The 25,805-nt window shown below is 36.1% G+C and overlaps 1 long non-coding RNA gene and 1 pseudogene across 1 annotated transcript; one reads left to right on the top strand and one right to left on the bottom strand.

Moving 5' to 3' along the window:
* On the top strand, positions 3,963–6,054 carry LOC100128713 (zinc finger protein 816A pseudogene; annotated as a pseudogene).
* Positions 6,055–22,215: 16,161 nt separating this feature from the next.
* LOC107985001 (uncharacterized) lies at positions 22,216–24,520 on the bottom strand. The gene is made up of 3 exons (XR_001752942.1): positions 24,343–24,520; positions 22,700–22,891; positions 22,216–22,273 (listed from the first exon to the last, which is right to left on the bottom strand). It is a non-coding gene; the product is annotated as an uncharacterized LOC107985001 (long non-coding RNA).
* Positions 24,521–25,805: the final 1,285 nt, after the last annotated feature.

Here is a 25,805-nt window from a genome sequence, read left to right on the forward strand (position 1 = left end):
AATAATACTACTACCAGGTAGTATTAATTGTGTGAATATACCATCATATGTTGACCAGTTCCCCTGTTAATTAACATCGCATCTTGGTTGTTTTCAGTTTTGGGCTAATATGAATACCACTGTGATGAACATTCTGTACAGTTTTTTTGTGGACATGTGCACTAATTTATCTTGGATATATGCCTAGGAGTGTTATTGCTGGATTACAGAAGAGGCATCTATTTAACTTAGTAAGAAGTGACTAAACACTTTTCCAAAGTGGTATACCATTTTAGGATAGCAATACATGAAAGTTGCTTTTGCTTCACATTCTAGTTAATATTCTAGTGGCCTTATAATAGTATCTTATTGTAGTTGTAATTCCCAAAGAAATAATGGTGCTGAAAACTTTTTCAAATATCTATTGGCCATTTGGATATCTTCACTGATGAAGTATTCATTTCAGTATTTTGACTTTTTAAATTATTTTGGAAAGGAGAGGGTGGAGTTTGTCATTTTCTTATAGATTTGCAACTGTTGCTTTACTCTGGATGCAAAAACACAGAGAAATCCTTAAAATCTGGGTTTCCAGTGAGATGAGGAATATGTTGTTTCACTACATTAACTGTTTTACACATAAAAGAAGTGCATATAATGTCATGTTGCATACCTTAAATATACATAATAAAATATCTCTAAAAATAAATTTTTAAGAACAAGAAAATAATTTTTTTAAAAATTTGACACATCATTAGAAAAATAGTATGGTATATGGGTTATAAAACAGCTACATTTTTCCCCTGTATTTGTATCCTATGTTATGTAATTTTGCTATGCTCTCCCGTATAGAGTCTGCACTCACACTCCGTGACTCTTGTCCTTGTTTCTATGCTCAGCTACATAATTTATTTTGGTTAATGGGATATTAGCAAATATGACGTAACTAGAGGTTTAAAAAATTGCTTACAAGTTTCTCCTTTCTCTCTTTTCACTGATTCCTTCCTAAAAACATGCCTGGGTTTGCCTTCTGGAGGATGATATATGAGGAGCAGTGCTATGTCAGTGTAGTCATCACAGCCGATGATCTCTCTGAGCAGGTAACAGCCAACCAATCCTCAAACATGTGAGATAGCACAGGCAAAATTAACAAAGCCTACTTTACCAAACCGCAGCTGACTGCAAATACATGAGTAAACCCAGACTAGGTAATCACTCTGCCAATCCACTACTGCGAGGTAAATACTTAATTATTTTATTAAGCCACCGGGTTTTGTGGTTGTTTGTTATGCAACACGATTGTTGCAATAGATAACTGATTCACGGGGGCAATTGATTGCATAAAAGGAATTTACACAAAAAATGCAGAAAGTATTTAAATGTATTAGTAACCAGGACAATGTAAACTCAATCAATAATGATACAGTTTTTCTCACTCATTATATTGGCAAATACTTTACATTTAAAAATATGCAACATAGCCCAGAGAAATGAATACAATAGTGGGACTATAGCTTGTTATGTTTTTTCCTGGAAGGCAAATAGACAATATATAAACATTTAAAATATGCATTCTGACGCAGACTGCTCAGCCAAAGTCAGGTGGGAGCCTAGAAAGGCTACCTAATGAGGTGATAAAGTAAGTGAGTGACCCCTAGCGGTACACATTCCCACCATGGACTGCTGCAATCTTAACCACCAGAAAGCCCCTTAACCCCTGCACGCCCTAAGAAAAATGTAGGGAGCCTGGAGCTCACACACTCCCTGAGTTGTAAGCATCTACAGCAATGCATCATTTTCAGAGTGTAGCCCACACCAGAGTACGTCCCGTCTTGTGTCCCAACAGCCTCTGCACTTCTACATTCCTAGATGCCTGCATGCCAATGATGGCTATTGCTGCCAGGGCCAAAGTATAAGCCATTGGCAGCAAGCCCCACCACCCCTGGCAGCAGGGCCACCATGTGTTTATATGTGCCCTGAGGAAAGTCTACCCTACTTGCAGCTGCCACCTAGGGCCAAAGCATGTACTCCTCAGCTGCTTGTTTATGGCTGCTGCTACTGAAAGCAACCTTATACTCTCCAGCAAAAGGGGCACACCATAGCTCCTGCCACTCCCACCTAAGTATTTCACTGGGGGTGTGGAGATCACCTTGTTCCTGCCTACCACAGCCAGCACCTATGTGTATCACCAGAAGGCCTAAGGATAGTTCCACCTGGTTTAGCTCTACTACCTCCCAACCACTGCCCAGTTCCCTAGAACATTCCTGAAGCCTAGGGATCACCCTAACCTGTAAACCACTGGTAGGACCTGAACACTCTGACTGGGGCCTGAGGACAAGCTGACTCAACCTGCCATGCCACAACTTGCACCAACCTGCATGTATCACCTGCAGCCTGGGGATTGCCCCACCAACCCCACTAAATCCACTACAAACAAACAACAATGTGAAATGCATGCAAGACAGAGGATTGTCCTGTGACTGCTACCACCACTGTCCATGCCAGTCCCACTTCCCAGGGTTCCAAGAACACACCAACCAACCCGACCTATTGTTGCCACTGCTGGTACCAACCAAGCTGCCTGGAAACCTAAGAATTGGCACACCTGGACCCATTAACAGCAGGGCCAGCATACAGTGTCCTGAAGCCCAAGGATGGGCATGCTTGGCCTGCCACTGCCACCACTGGGCCCCAAGGACTGGCCCAACTGATGCTTTATCCCAGCAGAACATTATAACAGACCCCACTAACAACAGTGCCCTAAGCCACAGAGGAAATCACAGATAACACTGTTTATACCTCAATAAATAAACAGAGACTACACTGCTGCACACATCCAGATGCAAAGCCAAAGTGCCCTATACAACGAACACCATGGATACATCTTCAGAAAAATATCCTCCCCTATAAAAGCAAATTTTAAAAATTGGAAGAAGTGATAGCTATTCCAGATGTACAGATATCAATGTAAGGACCCAGGAAATATATTTTAAAAAGTGAGGAAATAAGAAAACTTCAAAGGAACACAATAATTCTCTGGCAACAATTTCCAACGAAAAAGAAATTTATAAATTTCTAGAAAATAATTTAAAAAATTATATTTAAGAAGCTGAAAGAGATAAAAGAGAACTCAGAAAAACAATAAAAATCAGAAAAACAAATCAGGATATGAATAAGAAATTTATCAAAGATATATATATATATCATTAAAAGAACAAAAGAGAAATTCTGGAATTGAAAAATTGGTGTTGAAATACAAAATACATGAAAAAGCTTCAAGATTAGACTAGACCAAGCAGAAGAAAGAATTTCAGAACTTGAAGAATGGTCTTTTCAAATAAGTCGGTCAGACAAAAATAAAGAAAAAGATATTTATAAAAAATAAGCAAGGCCTACATGACATATGGGACACTACAAAGTGACCAAACATTTGAATTTTCAGTGCCCCAGAAGGCAGAGAGAAAAATGAAAGGGATTGAAAATCTATTCTATAAAATAATACATGAAAATTTTCCAAGTCTAGCAAGAGATTTACACATCCAGATACAGGAAACTCAGAGATCCTCAAGTCAGCACAATGCAAAAACATCTTCTCCACAGTATACTACAGTCAAAATGTCAAATGTCATAGACAAAGAGAGAATTCTAAAAACAGCAATAGAAAAGCATCTAGTCACTCATTAGGGACCCCCATCAAAGTAACAGCAAATTTCTCAGCAGAAACTTTGCAGACCAGGTGATGAAGGAATTATATTTTCAAAGTGATGTAAAAAAATTTAGCCAAAGATACTATACCCAGAAACATTATCCTTTATAAATGAAGGAGAAATAAAGTCTTTCTCAGATAAGCAAAAGCTGTGGGAATTAATCAGCACTATACCAGCCTGACAAGAAATGCTGAAGGGAGTTCTACACTTGGAATAAAAAGAAAGAGGTTCTACACCTGGAAGCAAAAGGACAATAACTACTATCATGAAAATCCACAAAAGCGGTGGACTGAAGGCTACACCACAGCTGTATGCTTCCCAGTTCTCTGGTGTTGCTATACTGGCGACATGGGGTCCCCACAGACCTAGAAATTCCAGCACCTCTTTCTCAACCCAGAGCAAATTGAGACGTCCGGATGAGAGTTCAGTTGATTTCCAAAAACTCATGTTATGTAAGGAAGCCACCAAGAAGAGCAAAGAAAAGGAGCCAGGGATGGCTTTTCCTCAGGGACACTTGATTTTCAGTGATGTGGCTATAAAATTCTCTGTGGAGGAGTGGAAATGCCTGAACCCTGAGCAGAGGGCTTTATACAGGGAAATGATGTTGGAGAACTACAGGAACCTGGAGTCTGTGGATAGCTCTTTAAAATCCATGATGGAGTTCTCATCAACAGAGCAAGGCAATACAGAAGTGTTCCACACAGGGACATTGGAAAGACATGATTTTTGCTTCCCAGAAATCAAGAAAGATATTCAGGACTTTGAGTTTCAGTGGCAAGAAATTGAAAGAAATGGCCATGAAGCACCCATGACAGAAATCAAAGAGTTAACTGGTAGTACAGACTGACATGATCAAAAGCACACTGGAAACAAGCCCATGAAAGATCAGCTTGGATTAAGCTTGGATTAAGCTTTCATTTGCATCTACCTGAACTGCACATATTTCAGACTAAAGGGAAAATTGGTAATCAAGTGGACCAGTCTATCAATGATGCTTCCTCAGCTTCAACATCCCAAATAATTTTTTGTAGGCTCAAAACCCATATTTCTAATAAGTATAGGAATAATTTCCTGCATTCTTCATTATTCACACAAATACAGGAAGTACATATGAACGAAAAACCTTTCCAATGTAATGAGTGTGGCAAAGCCTTTAATTATAGCTCACACTTAAGGAGACATCACATAATCCATTCAGGAGAGAAACAATATAAATGTCATATATGTGGCAAAGCCTTTCATCAGAAGCAATACCTTCCATGCCACCATAGAGTTCATACTGGAGAAAAACCTCAGAAGTGTAATGAGTGTGGCAAGACCTTCAGTCAGAAGTCTTACCTTCAATGCCATCATAGACTTCATACTGGACAGAAACCTTACAAATGAGAATAATGTGACAAAGTTTACAGTTGCAGATCACAACTTAAAACACATAGGAGAATTCATACTGGAGGAAAAAGCATACAAATGTAAGGTTTGTGAGAAGGCTTTCTGGGATAATTCATGCCTTTCATGCCAAAAGAGAGTTCACATTGGAGAGAAACCTTACACAGGTAATGAATGTGACAAGGCTTTTAGTAGAAAAGCACACCTTGCACTTCATCATAGACTTCATACTGGAGAGAAACCTTAAGGTTTGTGACAAGGTTTTTTGGCATGACTCATGTCTTGTACAACATCAGAGACTTCATACTGGAGAGAAACCTTACAAGTGTAATGAGTGTGTCAAGGCCTTCACTTGAAATTCAGCCCTTGTAATGCATAAGGCAATTCACACTGGAGAGAAACCTTACACATGTAATGAATGTGGCAAGGCTTTTAGTAGAAAAGCAAACCTTGCACTTTATCATAGACTTCATACTGGAGAGAAACCTTACAAATGTGAAGAATGTGACAAAGTTTACAGTCGCAGGTCACACCTTGAAAGACATAAATGAATTCATACTGGAGAAAACCCATACAAATGTAAGGTTTGTGACAAGGCTTTCCGGAGGGATTCATGCCTTGCACAACATCAGAGAGGTTCATACTGGAGAGTTCATACTGGAGAGAAATCTTACAGATGTAATGAATGTGGCAAGGTTTTCAGTCAAAAAGGAAACCTTGCATGTCATTATAGACGTCATACCGGAGAGAAACTTTACAAGTATAATGAGTGTGGCAAGACTTCAGTCAGAACTCATTTCTTATAGGCCATTGTAGACTTCATACTGGAGAGAAACATTACAAGTGTAATGAGTGTGGCAAGATCTTCACTTGAAATTCAGCCCTGGTAATTCATAAGGCAATTTATACTGGAGACAAGTCTTACAAGTATAATGAATGTGGGAAAGCTTTTAATCAACAATCAAATCTTGCACAACATTAGAGAGTTCATACTAGAGAGAAACCTTACAAGTGTAATGAGTGTGGTAAAGCCTTTAGTGGGCAGTCTACACTTATTCATCATCAAGCAATCCATGGTATAGGGAAACTTTACAAATGTAATAATTCTCACAAAGCCTTCAGTAATGCTACAACCTTTGCAAATCATTAGAGAATCCATAATGAAGAGACATCTTACAAGTATAGTAAATGTGGCAAATTTTTCAGACATCGTTCATAGCTTGCAGTTCATTGGTGAACTCATGCTGGAGAGAAACACTACAAATGTCAAGATTGTGGCAAGGTCTTCAGTCAAGCTTCATCTTATGCAAAACATAGGAGAATTCACACAGGAGAGAAACCTCAAGTGTGATGATTGTAGCAAAGTCTTGACTTCACATTCACACAGTATTACACATCAGAGAATCTATACTGGACAGAAATCTTACAAATGTCATACATATGGCAAGGTCTTCAGTCCGAGGTTAATCCTTGCAGAACATCAGAAAATTCATTTTTGAGATAATTGTTCTAAATACAATGACTATAGCAAATCATAAAGCTTTAATTGACATTAGAGCCTTCAGCATTGACTTGAGATTGAGTTGACTTAACATTGAGTTCAAACATAATTGACATTAAAATGTTTATGTTAAGTATGGGGGTAACCAGCCCCCAATATTTCAATGTAGGTTCTTTCTAAGTGTCAGCCAGTCTGAGAAATAAAGAGAAAGACTACAAAGAGGGGAATTTTACAGCTGGGCTGCCAGAGGTGACATCACATATCGGTGGGTCCGTGATGCCCACCTGAGCCGCAAAACCAGCAGGTTTCTATTAAGGACTTCAAAAGGGGAGGGGGTGTATGAACAGGGAGTAGATCACAAAGATCCCATGCTTCTGAGGCCAATAAAGATCACAAGGCAAAGGGCAAAGCAAAGATCACAAGGCAAAGGGCAAAATTAGAATTACTGATGAGGGTCTATGTTCAGCTGTGTACGTATTGTCTTGATAAACATCTTAAACAACAGAAAACAGGGTTCGAGAGCAGAGAACTGGTCTGACCTCAATTTCACTGGGGTGGGGTTTTTCCCCACCCTAGTGAGCCTGAGGGTACTGCAGGAGACCAGGGCATATTTCAGTCCTTATCTCAACTGCATAAGACAGACACTCCCAGAGTGGCCTTTTATAAACCTCCCCCCAGGAATGCATTCCTTTCCCAGGGTATCAATTATTAATATTCCTTGCTGGGAAAAGAATTCAGTGATATGTCTTCTACTTGCATGTTCATTTATAGGCTCTCTGCAAGAAGAAAAATATGGCTCTATTCTGCCCAACCCCACAGGCAGTCAGACCTTATGGTTGTCTTCCCTTGTTCCCAGAAAATCGCTGCTATTCTGTTCTTTTTCAAGGTGCACTGATTTCGTATTGTTCAAACACATATGTTTTACAATCAGTTTGTACAACAGTGGTCCTGAGGTGACGTACATTCTCAGCTTAGGAAGATAACAGGATTATGAGATTAAAGCAAAGACAGGCATAAGAAATTATAAGAGTATTATTTAGGAACTGATAAATGTCCATGAAATCTTCACAATTTATGTTCAGAGATTGCAGTAAAGACAGGCATTTCCTGTATGTTTTAAGTTAATATTTCAAACAATCGAAGGCAAAACAACATATTGTAGTGGGTTACCTGTGCTGAACACTGAATCATTTTTCCTCTTAAGTTGAAAATGATTTTCATGCAAAGCACCTTGTTTGAGCAGGCAGAGTCATGCGTCCTGCAGGCAGGGCGAGCTCCTCTCCATCTGGGGCAGGGTGGCGGAGAGGGGCAGGGACCTCAGTAAAGGAGTGGAGTGGGGCACTGGTTGCAGCAGGGACTGACAATTAGAACAGCTTATTAAACTAGGCAAAGTCCTGGGTTGTTTGAGTGGTTAATGGAAACTGAAAGGTGACATAAAAAACTGCCTACTACACAAAGGGGGTGAAGAAATATTTCATTTTTCATGGAAATAAAGTCAGGGCCCAGAGCAGTGGCTCACACCTGTAATCCCAGCACTTTGAGAGGCCAAGGCAGGAGGATTGCTCGAGCCCAGGAGTTTGAGATCAGCCTGGGCAAGATAGTGAGACCTCATCTCTACTAAAAATAAAAATAAAAAAATCAGCCAGTTGTGGTGGTGCACACCTGTGGTCCCAGCTGCTTCGGGTGCTGAGGTCAGAGGATCACTTGAGCCAGAAAGTTGGAGGCTGCAGTGAACTCTGATCTCACCACCACACTCCAGCCTGGATGACAAAGCTAGACCCTGTCTCAAACAAACAACCAAATAAATAGGAGGTATAGTATAATTCCTTTTTTAAAAAGAAAGGAAGATATTTTCTTTCTTTTTGTCTCTTTTCTTAGGACATTTATTTAGAAAATTTGTAAATGCATTTTCTGTGTCTTCTGAGGTTTTTTTTTTTTTTTTTTTTTTTTACGGAGTTTTTCTCTTGTTACACAGGCTGGAGTGCAAGGCATGATCTCACCTCACCGCAACCTCTGTCTCCTGGGTTCAAGCGATTCTCCTGCCTCGGCCTCCTGAGTAACTGGGATTACAGGCATGAGCCACCATGCCCAGCTAACTTTGCATTTTTTAGAAACTAATTAAACCTTTTTTCAGCTTAATGATCCAGGGATGTATTTCTGAAAAACTTGGGAGCTCTCTTTGAAAGGCAAACAGCAAGGGAGATAGTAACTTTATCTCAGTAGGAAATTAAATAATTCAAACATCAAATAAATCCAATTTAAAGCTATTGACCTTTAGGTAATTCTGAGCCTTGAGAGGAATGTGGCCATATAACCTGAGTCCAGTGGTATGCAGGGGCAACTTCTAAGTATTTTCCTGTAAGTAATTAGGAAGACTAAGCAGCCCCAAAGATAAGACCTCCTTGGATCATTGTCCCTTCTCATGGAGTGATAAAGTAACCTTCTTGAAGTGTATCAATCTGTAACCAACCAAGTTGCTGCAACCTATGCACTACTCTTAAATGGAAAATGTCGTGATTTTGCTAAGGCGTCTCTGTCTTTCCCTCTGTGTGTGAAACCCTAATGTCTCCACTTTGGAACACTGATCCCATTCATTTAGAGTTGATGTTTCCAGGTGGCTATTTCCAAGCTTTGTGTTTAAGTAAATTCTGTACTTAACCATAAAAAAAAAAAAAGAAAATCCACAAAAGCATAAAACCCACTGGTAGAGTAAAAACACAAATAAGGACGAGAAAAGACTCAAATGTTACCACTACAGAAACCCGCCAAACCACAATAAAACAATAAGAGAGAAACAAAGGAATAAAGGATATGCAAAAAAAAAAAAAAACCCCAGAAATCAATAAAATGGCAGGCACAAGTTCTCAAATATCAATAATAATCCTGAAAACTCTGAGATCTGATGAATAAATTTAGTAAAGATGCAGGATACAGAATCAACATACAAAGATCAGTAGCATGTTTACACACTAACAGTAAACTAGCTGAAAAAGAAATTAGGAGTGCAATTTCATTCTCAATAGCTCCAAAAACATATAAAGTACCTAGGAATAGATTTAACCTAAAAGGTAAAACACTACTACTACAAAAAAAACCACAAAATTCTGTTGAAAATTTTAAAGATGATACAAGCAAATGGAAAGACATCCCATACTCATGGGTCAGAAGTAATATCATTAAATTGACCATACTACCCAAAGCAATCTAAAGATTTAATGGAAAGCCTGTTAAAATACCAATGTCATTTTTCATAGAAATAGAATAAAGGAATTCTATAGTTTATATGGAACCAAAAAAGAGCCAAAATAATCAAAGCAACACTAAGCAAAAAGAACACAGCTGAAGGTATTACACTGTCTGACTTCAAAATATGTTACAAGGCCATAGTAAACAAAACAGCATGGTATTAGTATAGAAACCGACACACAGACTAAAGGAACAGAATAGAGAAACCAGAAATGAACCCACATTTTAGACCCAACCGATTTTTGACAAAGTACCAAAAGCATTAATTGGGATAAGGACAGTCTGTTCAAAAAAATGGTGCTGGGAAAATTGCATATCCATGTGCAAAATAGAACTGAAACCTTATCTTTCACCATATATAAAAATGAATGTGAGATGGATTAAAACATTAAACATATATAATAAACTATAATACTACTAGAAGCAAACATAGAGGAAACACATTGGACTAGGCAAAGATTTTGAAGTCACAGCTAAGACCTCAAAAACACAGGCAACAACACCAAAAATAGACAAATGGGACCATATTAAACTAAAAAGCTTCTGCAGAGCAAAGGAAACAACAGAATGGAAAGAAAATCTATTGAATGGAAGAAAATATCTGCAAACCACTCATCTGGCAAGTAATATCCAGAATACACAAGGAACTCAAACAACTCAACAGGAAAAAAGTAAATAATCTCATCTAAAAAAATTGTCAAAGGATGTGAATAGATAGATATTTCTCAAAATAATACATACAAATGACCAATGGGTATATTAAAAAATACTCAGCATCCCCAATCATCAGGGAAATGCATGTGAAACCCACAATGAGATATCATATTACTCAAATTGGAATGATTATCATAAAAAGACAAAAAAAAGATGTATCCTGGCAAGAATGCAAAGAAAAAGGAACTAATATATCGTTGGTGGGAATGTAAATTAGTACAGCCCCCCTGGAAAACAGTATGGAGATTCCTTAAAAAGCTAAAAATAGAATTACTGTACAATTCAGCAATCCCACTACTGAGTATTTACTGAAAGAAAAAGAAATCAGTATATTAAAGGGATACATGCACCCCCATGATTACCACAGCACTACTCACCATAGCAAAGATACAGAATCAAACTGTGCTCATTAACAGATAGCTGAATACAAAAATGTGGTATATATACACAATGGAATACTATTTGACCATAAAACGGAATGAAATCATTTTATTTGTAGCAACATAGATGCAAGTGGAGGTGATTACATTAAGTGAAATAAGCCAGGCACAAAAAAATAAATGTCATATGTTCTCACTCATATGTGGAAATTTAAAAAGTTGATTTCATGGAGGTAGAGAGTAGAATTATACATACCAGAGGCTGAGAAGGATTGTGCATGATGATGGTAGATGAAGAGGTTTGTTAATAAGCATGAACATACGATTAAATAGAATGAATAAATTCTAGTGTTTGATAACAGAGTAAGGCATCTATAGTTAACAGCAGTGTGTTGTATATTTCACAATAATTAGAAGGGAGAATTTGAAATATTTCCAACACAGAGAAATGATAAATATTTGAGATTATGAATACGCCAAATACCCTGACTTGATTATTACACAATTTATGCATGTAATTAAATATCATATGTATCCCATAAATATGTATGAATATTATGTATTAAAACTACTAAAACAACTACTGAAATAAAATGTGTTTCATTTGGCATAGCAATTCTGATTCTAAGACATGAATGAAAGACATACATGTATATACTAAGAGGGAAATAAAACAATGTTCATTGCAAAAAAAAAATTTCTTAACAAAACCAAATGAAAAACAATATCATTACCTTTAAATGTAGGGTATGTATTTCATAATATGGATATATTATAAATTATTTAAATAATTATTTAAATTTGTAGTACATCCATATTATGGAGTATTACACAGCTGTTAAAACTAATAAAAATAACTTATATTCTGTGACAGAGAAATATATCTAAGACTCTTGTTAAGTAAAAGATCCAGGAAAGAAGGCATATAATATAATATTATTTATGTAAATGTGTAGTTTTGTATATAAGTGTGGGCAAGCACATGTATAAATACAAAGAAAAATGATTTATTGCATACGTCAACATGTTAGCTTTGTTTATTACTTTGGGATAGAAAAATTGGTAGGGGGATGAAAGCAAGGGAAAAGTCATGTTTTCTCAAAAGAGATATTTCTTGATCTTCTTCAATAAAAGCGCATTTATTTAATACTTCTGTGATAAATGTATTCACAAGTAAAAGGACTTGTAATAAATGAAACTTCAAAACGATCTAAAAGACCAATACATGAATATTTAGTATATTTTAGTCTATCTCCAGCTGTTCAAAGAGGGTTTAAAACAAGAAAAAATTCATATAAGGAAGAGGTGAATAAATCTGAATATGTAAGAATTTAACATTTCTCCATGCAATAAAACACTGAAAATGTATTGAGAGTCCATTGGCATCTTTAAAAAGCATTGTCATAGGGGTGGAATTAGCATCTTTTATACATAAACATTTCTTAGAAAACAGGAGAAAAGGATTAAAAAATATTAAGGTAGAAGGCACAAGATATTTTCAAAGGAGAAAAGCAATTAACAATCATCAAATAAAAAGACTTAAACTTGGATAACAATCAAGAAAATGTACATTAAAAAATCAACAAGATGCCATTTTATGTATTAAATTGAGAAGGAATAAATAATCTTTCAAAATAATTCTCTTAATGGAACTATAGTGAAACAGACTCTCTCAGCTGTTGTTGGTGGGAATGTAAACTGATAGACATTTCGGAGAGCAATTTAGCAATGGTTTAGAAAAACAACAAAAAGAAATATGTAGGGAGGTTATCAGTGATTATCCCTGGATGTTGGGATTAGGAATCATCTATTTTTTGTTACTTCTACTTAAAAAAAATTAAAAATTATTAATACCTTGAGTGTCCACAATAAAGTTCCTTTTAAGCAAATGGCCTTGTGTCTACTACACAGACTATCGTGTAACTCTGGCATCGGCTTGCCAGAAGTTTCTGATTATTGGGTGAGTGTTCATTTTTATAACGAGACTGCAGAACACTGAACGGAGGATGGAACACAATCCCAACCAAACAACTCAACATTATAAAGTGGACAGAAGGGGGAATACTAGACCGTCATTGGTTGCTGCCTTTGGATGGTAAAAATGTCCAAGCCAATTCTTTCTACCTTTTGAAAATTTCCAAGTTACCCAAATGAGTGTACACTACATTTAATTTGACCAAAAATGTGTGTATAACTGAGATTGGGTATTTTCTGGGGGAAAAGATTGCTCTAGATCTACAGGATATCTTATGTCCTACGGTCATTTCAATCTATTTTCCATGTCTCAAAAACAGAACTTTCATTGTTTTATGTGCAAGAGTTTCCAGTGTTTTGTTTGTTTTTTTAAAGATCCTGACATCAAGAAAGCATTTCTATTCTTCATTCCACATATTTCTTTTATTAATGTCTTCCCATGGTCTTTGAAATGTAATTTCAAAAGCTCAAAGAAGTCAACCTCCCTATACGCAATAAAAGTTTGTGGTTCTTAAATAACTTTAATCTTAATACTTTTTACTTTTTTTTTTTAAGGTACTCCTTTTCATATTAGCTGATTTGCTCCTCTTTTTCCCGCATGCTGCCTACAGAAATCCTACTTTAATTATACCACTGCTGGAACTTCAAAAGAAAGCCTCAACACAATGGATTTATTCTTTTTCAGTTTAATTTTACTTGTTAAAGAAGATTTCTTTAGCTACCAGCTTAAAAAAAGGTAGAGCTGAGTTTTATTAAACCTTGTTCTACTGCAAAGTTTCAGTTCAAGCTCTTTGAACCAGATCTGCTATGATGGAGGTCAGCCACTACTTTTTTTTTTTTAAAGATAATAACACACACACACGTCCTATTTTTATTCTTATTCTTCCATTGAAGTTATTTCTGTGAAAGGGGATATATTCCTTATTCTCCTATATCATAGAATATTGCTCTAAAATCTCTTAAATAAGATAAAATAAATGTGGCAGCTTAAATATAAACTGGCATAGAGAATTAAATTAATTATCCATATACAGTTAAAGTTCAGAAAATAGAAATAAATACAAACAAACTTAGAAGACTTGGTTTTATTAAGGACAACAAACAAGGGGCCCTGACCACTGAATATTTTCGAAACTTTTCTGCTTATAATTGTTGTTATTTAATCCACTAACCACCCACTCCTGGCCATACCCTATAAAGCCAAGATGTGGTTCATGCATTTCTTTTTTTTTTTTTTTTTAACTTTAAGTTCTGGGATACATGTGCAGAACGTGCAGGTTTGTTACATAGGTATACATGTGCCATGGTGGTTTGCTGTACCTGTCAACCCGTCATCTAGGTTTTAAGCCCCACAGGCTTTAGGAATTTGTCCTAATGCTCTCCCTCCTTTACCCCCTATCCCCTAAACAGGCTCTGGTGTGTGATGTTCCCCTCCCTATGTTCATATGATCTCATTGTTCAACTCCCACTTATGAGTGAGGACATATAGTGTTTGATTTTCTATTCCTGTGTTAGTTTGCTGAGAATGATGGCTTTCAGCTTCACCTATGTTCATCAGCCATGCATTTCTTTCTAATTTCATCTGATGCCATGTTACAATACACCCTCACCATGCTGTATGGTTACTAGCTCCTAAAATACACAATTCCTTCCAGATTCAAGGTATTTGAATTTGCAGTTTCCTGTACTGGGAATGTTTTTGTTTCTACTTCACCTACATGATTCCTTCACCTATAGGTGATTCCTATATTTATTTATATAAATAAATAAAAACACGCAAACAACCCACACTAATGAGAGGGCACCTCAAGGGCTCTTCTGTAATGAGCCATGATTTAAAGATTTTATAACAATTTTTTTATTTGTCTTGTTCCTGCGTGTGTATCCAAGCCTAAAGCAATATATAATAATTAAGGGAGGCGAAAAAGGGCAGAGAGTCACAGAATATTAAGGTAGAAAGGCGCTTGAAATGTCTCAGTCTAACCTTTTCCTCTTTACTGGAGCCTAATCTTTTACTCTTTACTAGAGCCTAGAAGAAGGTGGCTCCTGGCAACATTCTGGCTTAAATAAAACACAAGAATATGTGCCTCTATGCAGCAGTCCTAAAAAAAATTCAGAAGAGAAGGACTAGGAGTTATCTCCCAGAAGGGTGTTCAAAGGCCAAAGGTGAGATTAAAAGTAACAGAGAATGAGCTGAAAAACAGAAAATGAATTCTAAAATATTCTCTTTGTTCCAGCCCTGCCTGTTTCTCTACCCACAGCCTACTCTCTCCCCTTCACTCACTGAATTCCTCCTACAAGAGCATTTTCTCAGTCATTTCAGGGGGACAAACTCTGTCTCAAATTTGTTTTTTATCATTTTCTCTACCTGGAAGAATTTTCCTTTTATTTAGCCAGGTGACTGTCATACCATATAATCCTCACTTTAAAACATCACCTTTAGAAAAATAAATCAGGTACCTTTGTTTTATTCTGCTGCAGCCCCCATAATTTTCTTAGACAGAATCTATGGTAATTTTTACTCATGTAGTGTTTTTGTTTCTGTCTCGCTACTTGACTTTAGTACCAGTTGGGTACACATTTGCATATATTTTCTCACAATCCTGGAGCTAGAAGTCCAAAATCAAGGTGTCAACACGTAGGTTTCTTCTGAGGCCTCTCTCCTTGGCTTGCAGGTGGCCTTCTTCTCTTCAAGTGGGCACATGGTCCTCTCTCTGTGTGTGTCTATATCCTAATCTCCTTTCTTATAAGGACACCAATAATATTGGACTAGAGCCCATTCTGTTGACCTTGGTTTAATTTAATTGCCCCTTTAAAGACCCTGTCTCTAAATATAATTGCATTATGTGGCACTAAGTGTTAGGATTTCAACAGATGAATTTATGAGAAGTAGAGAGGTAGACGTAATTGAGCCCATAAAACCATTATAGTCTCAACGCCTTCCTCAGAGCTCGGCACACAGTAGGTGCTATTACAAAAGATATATTTATAAAAGAAATATCTAATTTAGTGCAGTGTTTCTTTGTTAAATTAGAAGGAGTAGGAAACAAACTACTTTGATTGTATAAAAGATCATGTCTTTTATAATACCTTAAATATTAAACAGTAAAGTTTTCTCTGAAAGATTCAGGTAGGTTTCTGTTATATAAACACCTCAATAAGGGATAATCCAATAAAATTTTCAGCCAGAGGAGAAAGAGATTGATCTTGAGGCTAAAATCTATGCATGATTTCAAAGAATCAGATGTTTTTAAAGTACAATGTTTAGTATTTGTTTTATCAGGCATGTGAAGAGTTTTTAAAATGCATCTTAGGCCGGGCGTGGTGGCTCACACCTGTAATCCCAGCACTTTCAGAGGCCGAGAATTCGAGATCATCCTGGCTAACATAGTGAAACCCCATCTCTACTAAATATACAAAATTAGGTGGGCGTGGTGGTGTGCACCTGTAATTTCAGCTACTCGGGAGGCTGAGGCAGAAGAATCACTTGTACCCAGGAGGCAGAGGTTGCAGTGAGCCGAGATTGTGCCATTGCACTCCAGCTTGGGCAACAGAGTGAGACTCCATCTCCAGAAAAAAAAAAAAAAGCATTTTACTTATAAATTAAGTCATTCCTCTTAAAATCTATGAAGTAGACACATTTAGATTTGGCTTTTGTTAGTTCAATAATCAGAAGATAATCAGATAATCTCGTTATGGGCATAGTTAAATGTATCTATACATGTATTAAAATTCACAGAACTGCACATCAGAAATGAGATTTCTTCATAGCTTTGTCCCTGTTTTAGAATAATTATGGGAATAACCATAAATATTAATTCCTATTTAATATGTATGTAGTCTGGAATCCCGAGGTGTGAATAGCAATATCTTATTACACAAACCAGAGTATTCATTAAGTGCTTTTGGATAATCTTTAGAGAGTACATTAAAATTCAAATATTACTAGCATATGAGTAGTCTGCAGAACTTAAAGAGGTATTTCAGAAATAAGAGGTGAATACCTTCCTGGAGTAAAAACTTATTAATCAAAACATTCAAATGAATATCAGCATAAAAGAAAAGAAGGTCAAGTGATTACGTGGAGCCGAATTTAACAATAAACTCAAGAGAAAGATATTTTAATAAAAGAGATATTGTGCTTCATAATTGCAGAATTCCACAGTACTTTAGTTGTGTCAATGCAGTTTACCTGTAAGTGCTTTGTTGCCACTACTGTTCTTCTTTTCATTGTTATTTTGTTCTCTTCAATTTTGACTTGTTTTTATGCTAGCAAAGCATTTACATATTTTTGTGACACATAAGAAAAGAGACCTTTTGAAAGTGTAACTACTATGAATTTTGATTATTTCAATGCTCTTTTTATTTTTAAACTACTATATAATACAATTCACTTTTTTCTTCTGATGTGCAGTTTTATGATTTTTAACAAATGTATAGATACATTTAAACATGCCCATAATGAGATTAAAACCAGTTCCATCACCCTAACAAACCTCCCTAGTGTTATCCCTTTATATTTACACCCTTCCCTCCAACCCAACTCCTGGCATACAATGATCCTCCACTATAGTTTTGCCTTTTTGACAATGTAATGTAAATGTAAACATATACTATTTAGCTTTTTGAGATTGGATCCTTTATTCAGCATAATGCCTGTGAGATCCATCCAAGTTGTTGCATGTATCCATAGTTCTTTCACTTTTATTGCTGCATAATATTATATTTTATAGATTTACTAAAGTTTTTTTATTCATTCTCCCATTGAAGGACGTTTGCTTGTTTTCAGTTTTTGGCAATTATGAATAGACTTGCTATAAACATTCCTATGCAGATTTTTTGTAAAGCAAAAGTTCATTTATCTAAGATAAATGCCTAAGAATGAGATTTCTGGCTCATATGATAGATGTATATTTAAATTTATAAGAATCTACCAAATTATTTTTTAGAGTGGCTATGTAATATTCCATTCTCATCAGCAATGTCTTAGAGTTCCAGCTGTTTTACATCCTCACTGGAACTTACTGTCAGTATTTTTTTTCACTTTAATCATTCTAATGATAAGCACAATAGTTACTCATCCTAGTTTGTTTTTTTTTGTTTGTTTGTTTGTTTGTGTTTTTTTGAGACCGAATTTAGCTCTTGTTGCCCAGGCTGGACTGCAATGGTATGATCTCGGCTCACTGCCACCTCTGCCTCCCGGGTTCAAACAATTCTCCTGCCTCAGCCTCCCTAGTAGCTGGGATTACAGGCATGTACCACCATGTCCAACTAAAACTGTATTTTTTGTAGATACAGTGTTTCTCTATGTTGGTCAGGCTGGTCTCAAGCTCCCAATCTCAGGTGATCCGCCCACCTCGGCCTCCTGAAGTGCTGGGATTACAGGTGTGAGCCACCGCGCCCGGCCTCATCCTAGTTTTATTTAGTATTTTCCTAAAGGTGAATAATGTTGAAAGCCCTTTCCTTTGCTTATTTACTATTCTTATATTATTTGTCTTAAAATGTTTGCTCAAATCCTTTGCCTATTTTTCAATTTTGTTGTTTATTTTCTTACCTTTGAGTTTTACTATTTTTATATTGTTTGTACAAGTCTTTTTTGGTAGTTATGTAATTTGCAAATATTTTCTTTCATCTGGTAGTGTGCCTTTCAATTCTTTTAAAATGTTTTCTGCAAAGTAAAGTTAATTTCAGTGAGATTCAATTTATCATTTTTATGAACTATAATTTTGGTTATCTAATCATTCTACCTCTTATGAATATATACAGAAATACCTGATAGGATTTTGATTAGTATTAGGTTAAATGTATAAATCAATCTGAAGAGAATTAACATGTTTACTATATTGATTATACACATCCACTAACATAGTAGGTTGCCATTAGGTTTCCTTTGATTCCTTTCATCACAATTTTGTAATTTTCAGCATACACATTCTGTACATGTTTTGTTAGATATATACTTAAGGATTTCATCTTTTATTGTAATTGGCTTGGCTTTTTCTTTTAAATGTTAGGTTCTAATTGTACATTGCTAGTATCTAAACATACAATTGGTTGTTGTGTGTTAATTTTGCATCCTGTGACTTTGCTCAACACACTTATTAGTTGTAGGAGGTTTTTTTTTCCTATAAATTCTTTGGGATTTTCTCTCTCTATATATATAGTCATGTTGATTGCAGAATAAATAGTTTTCTTTCTGCCTTCCTAATTTTTATGTTTATTATTTGTTTTCCTTGCCTGATTGCACTAGCTAAGACCACTGGTACTATGTTGAAGAGGAGTGGTGAAAACGAGTATTTTTGCCATCTCCTCAACCTTAAAGGGAAAGCATTCAGATACTTTTTAATAAGCTAGCCACTTTTGGTGTACCAGCCTGTGTAAAAGATCCCAGTAAGCAGTTGGTTGTTGTTTGTTTGTTTGTTTGTTTTTGAGACAGAGTCTTGCTCTGTTGCCAGGCTGGACTGCAGTGGTGCAATCTTGGCTCACTGCAACCTCCACCTCCCAGGTTCAAGCAATTCTCCCTGCCTCAGCCTCCCGAGAAACTGGGATTACAGGTGCCTACCACTATGCCCAGCTAATTTTTGTATTTTTAGTAGAGGCAGGGTTTCACCATGTTGGCCAGGCTGGTCTCAAACTCCTGACCCTCAGGTGATCCACCCGCCTTGGCCTCCCAAAGTGTTGGGATTACAGGCATGAGCCACCGTGCCATCTGCGTTGCTTTTTTGTTTTGTTTTTCAGGTAAAACTGTATCTACAAAGTAGGGCTGCTGTGGTTGACATCCTTTTCATCTCATTAAGATGACACCCTGAGTTCCAACCCTTTCCTCCAGCCCTCTCTGGGGAAGGAAAGAAGAAAATCCAATCAAGTGACCAAAAGTGGAAAAGTGGTTATTGACTGCCACAAAACACATCTCTTTTGAGAGCAATGATATTCACATTCAAAGAGCCTTTTATGTGGGCTCAGCATTGTTTTAACCTATAATTTGGGTTCATATTCTTTCCTTTTGGTCTACAAACTAAAATTAAAAGTTCCTTCTCTTTTAAATGTCTTGCATTAAAGGTTTCTTAATTCTTTTAAACTGTCCAGATGATCTAGAAATAATTTAATAAGCCACAAAAAATAATTCTGGAACAAATATCAACACACATAAACAGAATACATGAGATGCATGCTTATATACACATGCTATGTTATACACTTGTATGCATATTACATACATGATGTGCATATATATTTATATATGGATGCAATTGGATAAACTCCTCTTAAAACTGATAAGCAATTAATAATGCTTAATACTAATAGGTCTCTCAATTGGAACTCTAGAAAATCAGGACCATTTTAATGAAAAAAGAAAGCACGTACTGTAATAATGTTGATTCTCTATTCACATCCCAGAATTGTGTTAAAGACTCAGAAGATAATAGGTATAAAGACCCTTAAAATCCTTAGAGAAAGTTTTGTGTAAATTTTTTTTTTGTATTTGCATAACCATATGTATGCTAATAACAAAGTTTCTCTGGAGATGCTTTCCTGCCAGGGGCACTATATTTTAAAGATGATATCAAGTTACGTTTATCATGTGAGAAAATAAAGCAACTTTGGTGTAGCAAGAGGAATAATATACAAGCTCAAAAATAAAGTCTTAGAAGGAAAAATGATGCACGATCTCAATAACATTTTACATTCTTGTTGCACATTTCATCCTAAAGATCAACAGAATGTTCCAACTAATCATAAATTCAGGAGTTATTCAACCTCCTGTTTTAAGAAATTGTCTCAGGGAGAGAAGACGATAACTATCTTTAAACCCACCCAGCCACATAGTTCAATGACTTAGGATAGAAAGTCAAAATCTCAAGTAAGTTTATTGACTTTTCATGTATCATGTCAGTCAGAGCTTGAGTCAAAGTGGGTAAACTGACCCAAGAAAGTAATCAAAATCTACACATTAAATTTGTACATCTGTATATATAAATCTTGTTTTTAACAAATAAAAACAAAATTTACACAATTTAGTTGTTCATTGCTGTCTTTTTTCTATAGGCATTTTATCACAAATGTCTAATATTATGAACAAAAGCGTAAAAGAGAGAAAATTGAGATCTCTTTCATAGTTAGCCTAACTTTTTCATGGGGGAAAGAGGTGATGATTTTTTCCATAAGATTTCCTAGCCCATGGAGAATATGAGTCTTCTGCAGTCTATCTATTGCAAAGCTTCCCATCTTAAGTGAAATAGCATCCTCCTTCAGGCATGTTGTTGCTAGGTTACTATTAAATAGAATTACTATCATGCAATATATTCATAAAGGAAGAGTCTTGATATAAGTAAGAAAATAATTATAATAACTTTGTCATGTTTATGCAACTTGATGAATTAATATATATCCAAAGGCATTATTTAGGGGAGGGAAACAAGGTAGATTTATTTTCCATTTTGAATATTCTTAGTGATTCATTGAAAGTCTCTTATATATCCCAAGCACCTTGAAAGCAATTCAATTAAAGAGGATAATTAATCCACAATTCCAGGATTTCTCATAAACAGTATTGTAGCTGATTGGCACAAATGCTGTCATTAAACAGAGGAAAGTTACAAATGTTAGATTTAGAGGGTATTTTGAGTTATATTTATTCTAGTCTATAACTATTACAAAGAAATGCAAAATACCCCAGTTTAGGTATTATGTGCTTTATTATTGAAGAGTTCCATGAAATATCACATCTACCAATGGTTTGGTGGAGCTGATACTTTTACTTACCCTTGTTATAAAAAGCAATCATCATTTGTGTATCAGAATCACTTGACAACTTTTTTAAACATGAGATGCCCAAGCCAAAAATGTGTAGATGGAGACTGGCATCCACACATCCATATGTTTTAAAAGCTGCATTGCAAAATTTGATAAGCAACCAGAGTAGAGACCTGCAGGTCTGTAGACTATTGAACAGCATGTTAATCCTCCAGAAGGTTTAAAAATGAAAGGGTAGAGGCACATAAACTTTAAGATTATGCATCAGTTTTGTTAATATTACTAGAATATCAGGATCACAATGTATAATTTACACTCTAGAGGAACAATTTTAACTAAATTTATATCTTATACCAGGCATCTTGAATCTTTCTCATTTGCACTCCAGAAATTATACTGCTTTAGAAAAAATAAAACGATACAGTGAGCCACTAACTCTATCTGCAAATTTTTTAAAATAAAATTAGAACCAAATTACACCTCTAAAGTGTAAGCATTGGATTTGGACATTTTTTGCAAGTGAAGGGTAAAATATAAAACCTGGCAGGAAATGGAAAATAGAATTTTTTTCCACTTACCTTTTTATAAAAGTGACTGTAAAATGTGCAAAATCACCATTGACATTCAGGCAATCCCTGAAAAATAGGTTTGAATAGGATTAAATATGAATTGAACTAGGTGAATTATGCGTGACCAAAAAAATAATGCAAGATGCTATAGAGTACACTGATTTTTTTTTTCTGAAATCTATTTCTCTAGATTGATGGTTCAGTGAGCAAGAATAAATGTTTTTATTTTTTTCTCCATTTCACAAAAAAGGTTTTATTTCATGTCTCATCATAGACACTCAGGCTAACTAATATAGCAATTAATATCCTTCGTTTTAAGAAAATTCAGAAAACTGGAGAGCTGGTAGGATTTCCAACAATTGAAAGAGAAATCATTTCACATTTCTACTTTTGCCATTCTTCATACTTTTTACCTCCCAGCTGAAATGCAGCAAGCTAAAGATCAAGTTTTTATTCTAATTCTTCAATGGGAACAATCAGCTTGTTACTTACTTCTCTTTGCCTTTCCTCCCCATGTCAGCCTCAGGTAGACCAGCTCTCTGTCTCTGGAGAAGGGCAAAATCGACTTGGGGCCTCTCAGAGAGGCCTCTCATTCCTGCAACCCTCAGGCAAAGGCTTTATTGTCTACAGCTGAGCCCCAGCCTTGCTACTTTGTTCTTACTGTTTACAGGTGATTCCCAAAACCTGCAACAGAATTTTAGCATTAATCAATGAGTGAGGAAGTGTTGAAAACTGAGTATGCAGGATAGGTAATACTTTCTAACAGGGAGTTATCTATCTTTCAGAGTTTATTATCAGTATTAAATTTTCAGATCTATGTAAATGCATGGAAAAATCTGAAAAGATAATGTACCTAACTGATAATAGTGGTTATCTCTGGGAAAGTGAGATTAAGTTTGGAGATTAAAGTGATCTTTAGTTGTTCTATAGTATTTTGTGTAATTAATTTATACTTTATGATATTTTAATTTTATTTAAAAAACTAATGTGAATTTAATGCATGGTTAACATTTAAAACATTTAAGAAGCATTCTATAGAATATATTGTAAAATAAAGACTCCATTGTTGGAAACCTTGCCGATGCAAAGGCGATCCCCTCTCTTTCAGAATGGGAATGCTCCTAACCTATTATGATTGATTCTAGTCAGAAATATATTATTCTGGGTCTACTAACACAAAAGACTAGATATTGAATTATTGATTTTATAACTTTGCTTATCAATGGAGGGAGTAAGAGGAGGGTAAAGAACTCTCCATTTCTATGCCCAAGATAGACATCTCTGAACTTGCACATACTTTCAAAACCCTTCTCGGGCCGGGCGTGGTGGCTCACGCCTATAATCTCAGCACTTTGGGAGGCCGACGCGGGCAGATCACGAGGTCAGGAGATTGAGACCATCCTGGCTAACATGGTGAAACCTCGTCTCTACTAAAAATACAAAAAAAAAATTAGCCAGTCGTGGTGGCGGGCGCCCGTAGTTCCAGCTACTCGGGAGGCTGAGGCAGGAGAATGGCGTGAACCCAGGAGGCGGAGTGTGCAGTGAGCTGAGATAGTGCCACTGCACTCCAGCCTGGGCAACAGAGCGAGACTGTGTCTCAAAACAAACAAACAAACAAACAAACAAACAAAAAACTCTTCTCAATACAGTGTTCCAGATGGCCACTATTAGTCTGTATGTGTTGGTTCATACTACCTGATAAAGTTTTCTCTGGAAGCAATGGTGTCATAATATAATATATACTAAACTTCTGTACTGCATCTCCTTAACATGGGGTGTATGAGAATAATTCAGTGAGCTTTCTAATATACACATTCATAAGTTCCTATGCTAGTAAATTGATTTTGTAGAAATAAGATGGAATCTTAATATGCATGTGTTAAGTACAAAACGTCCAGCTTATTCTGATAGATTGGTTGTGAATTTCGGGTAGTATAATTAACATTATATATTTATAAATATTGATGGCCATGTAGGCCTATTACATGTAACTTCAGATGACCTGGGTTGGAGTTCTGATCCTAGAACTTATTAGTCAGAATTCTGACCTTGGGTCATCATAGAGTCACCCCAAGATTTAGGTTCTTCATTGACAAAATGGAATTACTTATGTTGCCTCTATTTCTCATACTTACCACAATGCAAAAGGATCCCTGGTTTGGCCATATCTGTCGTGGGACTGTGGAAAAATCACTTCACCTCTGGGTCCTCAGTTTATTCATGTTCAAAAGTTGGATGGTTCAACTAGATCTGTGATTCTCAATCTCTATTCTGAGTCGAGACCCCAGGGGTGAAGTAACCTGGGGAAATGGAATGTAACATGTAACAAGAAATAAGATCTCTAATCCTCTTCCCCCACAGAAGCCACAGTGTCATATGTTTTCATACTGGATATTTATGTGAGGTTCTTTTTCAGCCATATATATCTTAAAGCACCAATCAAAATAATCTCTGAGGTCATATCAGCTCAAAATTCTTTGAATCTAATTCCCAAGATTATAGAGCTCAAATTAGATAATGTTTGTTAGTTTGGCTTGTAAAATGAAAAGCTATCAAGCTGAATTGCCTTGAAAGTTTTATATTATAAGCTAAAATTTCCTGAGCTTCCTAAATGGACTACCTCCATACTTTCTTTTTATTGTCAGTATTAGCTTAATTCCTCTTGCCCTTGCACCCTTATGCTGCTCATAAATTGACCCTTCTTTCCTGATCACACCCTTTCACCAGATTCTCTGCTTCCAGCCAAATGCAGACATCAGCCAATTTCAGCAGAAGTAGAGCACGTGTTTGTAGTAACCCTCTTCTCTCTCCTTTTCCATCTGGCAGTGCCTAGGAATAGCCACGTGTCAACCTTAGAATATGGACATTCAAGGAAGATTTCTGAGTTTCCATATTAACCATCTTAACCTCTGCTCAAAATTGAATCTATGGCAGGCAGCACTTCCTTGAATAACATAGCTGAGCAAATAGTTTTGTCTTGACAGTTGGGTCTCTTCAGAATCTAGCTCAACTTGCCCTTCTCACACCTTATTCACATACCCATAAATGTGTCACTCCTGAAGGTTCTCAACATGAAAATGCTGAATTTTGAATCTAGCCATTTCACACTAATAATTCCCACACATGAATTAGTAATGACACAGTTCAACTAGAACTTAATTCATAATGTGCCTACTTGCATTAGAGTCAGAGGTTACATAGATAAACAGTGATTGGCCTTGATTGGCATGGTAACTCATGAAGAAGTCAGATGTATAAGATTAGTATAGATGCAATGCAGTCAATAGAAAGATAAAGGTCTGTATGGTGTGTTATGTAGCATGGGGCATCCTTATCTAATTTGTATGCTCCAGGTAGTATCATGGAAACATATGTTTATTCATGAAAACTAAATAAGACTTAGCCAAATAAAGAGAATTGGGAAGGGTTTTATCCACTGAGAAAAGAGCATCAACTATAAAGCAGGCAAAACTACAGTTTGTTATTACTAACGCATAATATGTAAAGTCTGTGCAGAATGACTGAAAACATGGTTGAAGAACAAGAAAGTGTCTTGGAAGGAGTTTGTGCTAACGTTAAAGCTTTTGGACTTTATTCA

Source organism: Homo sapiens, chromosome 17 (genome assembly GCF_000001405.40).
Source record: "Homo sapiens chromosome 17, GRCh38.p14 Primary Assembly".
NCBI classification, from domain to species: Eukaryota; Metazoa; Chordata; class Mammalia; order Primates; family Hominidae; genus Homo; species Homo sapiens.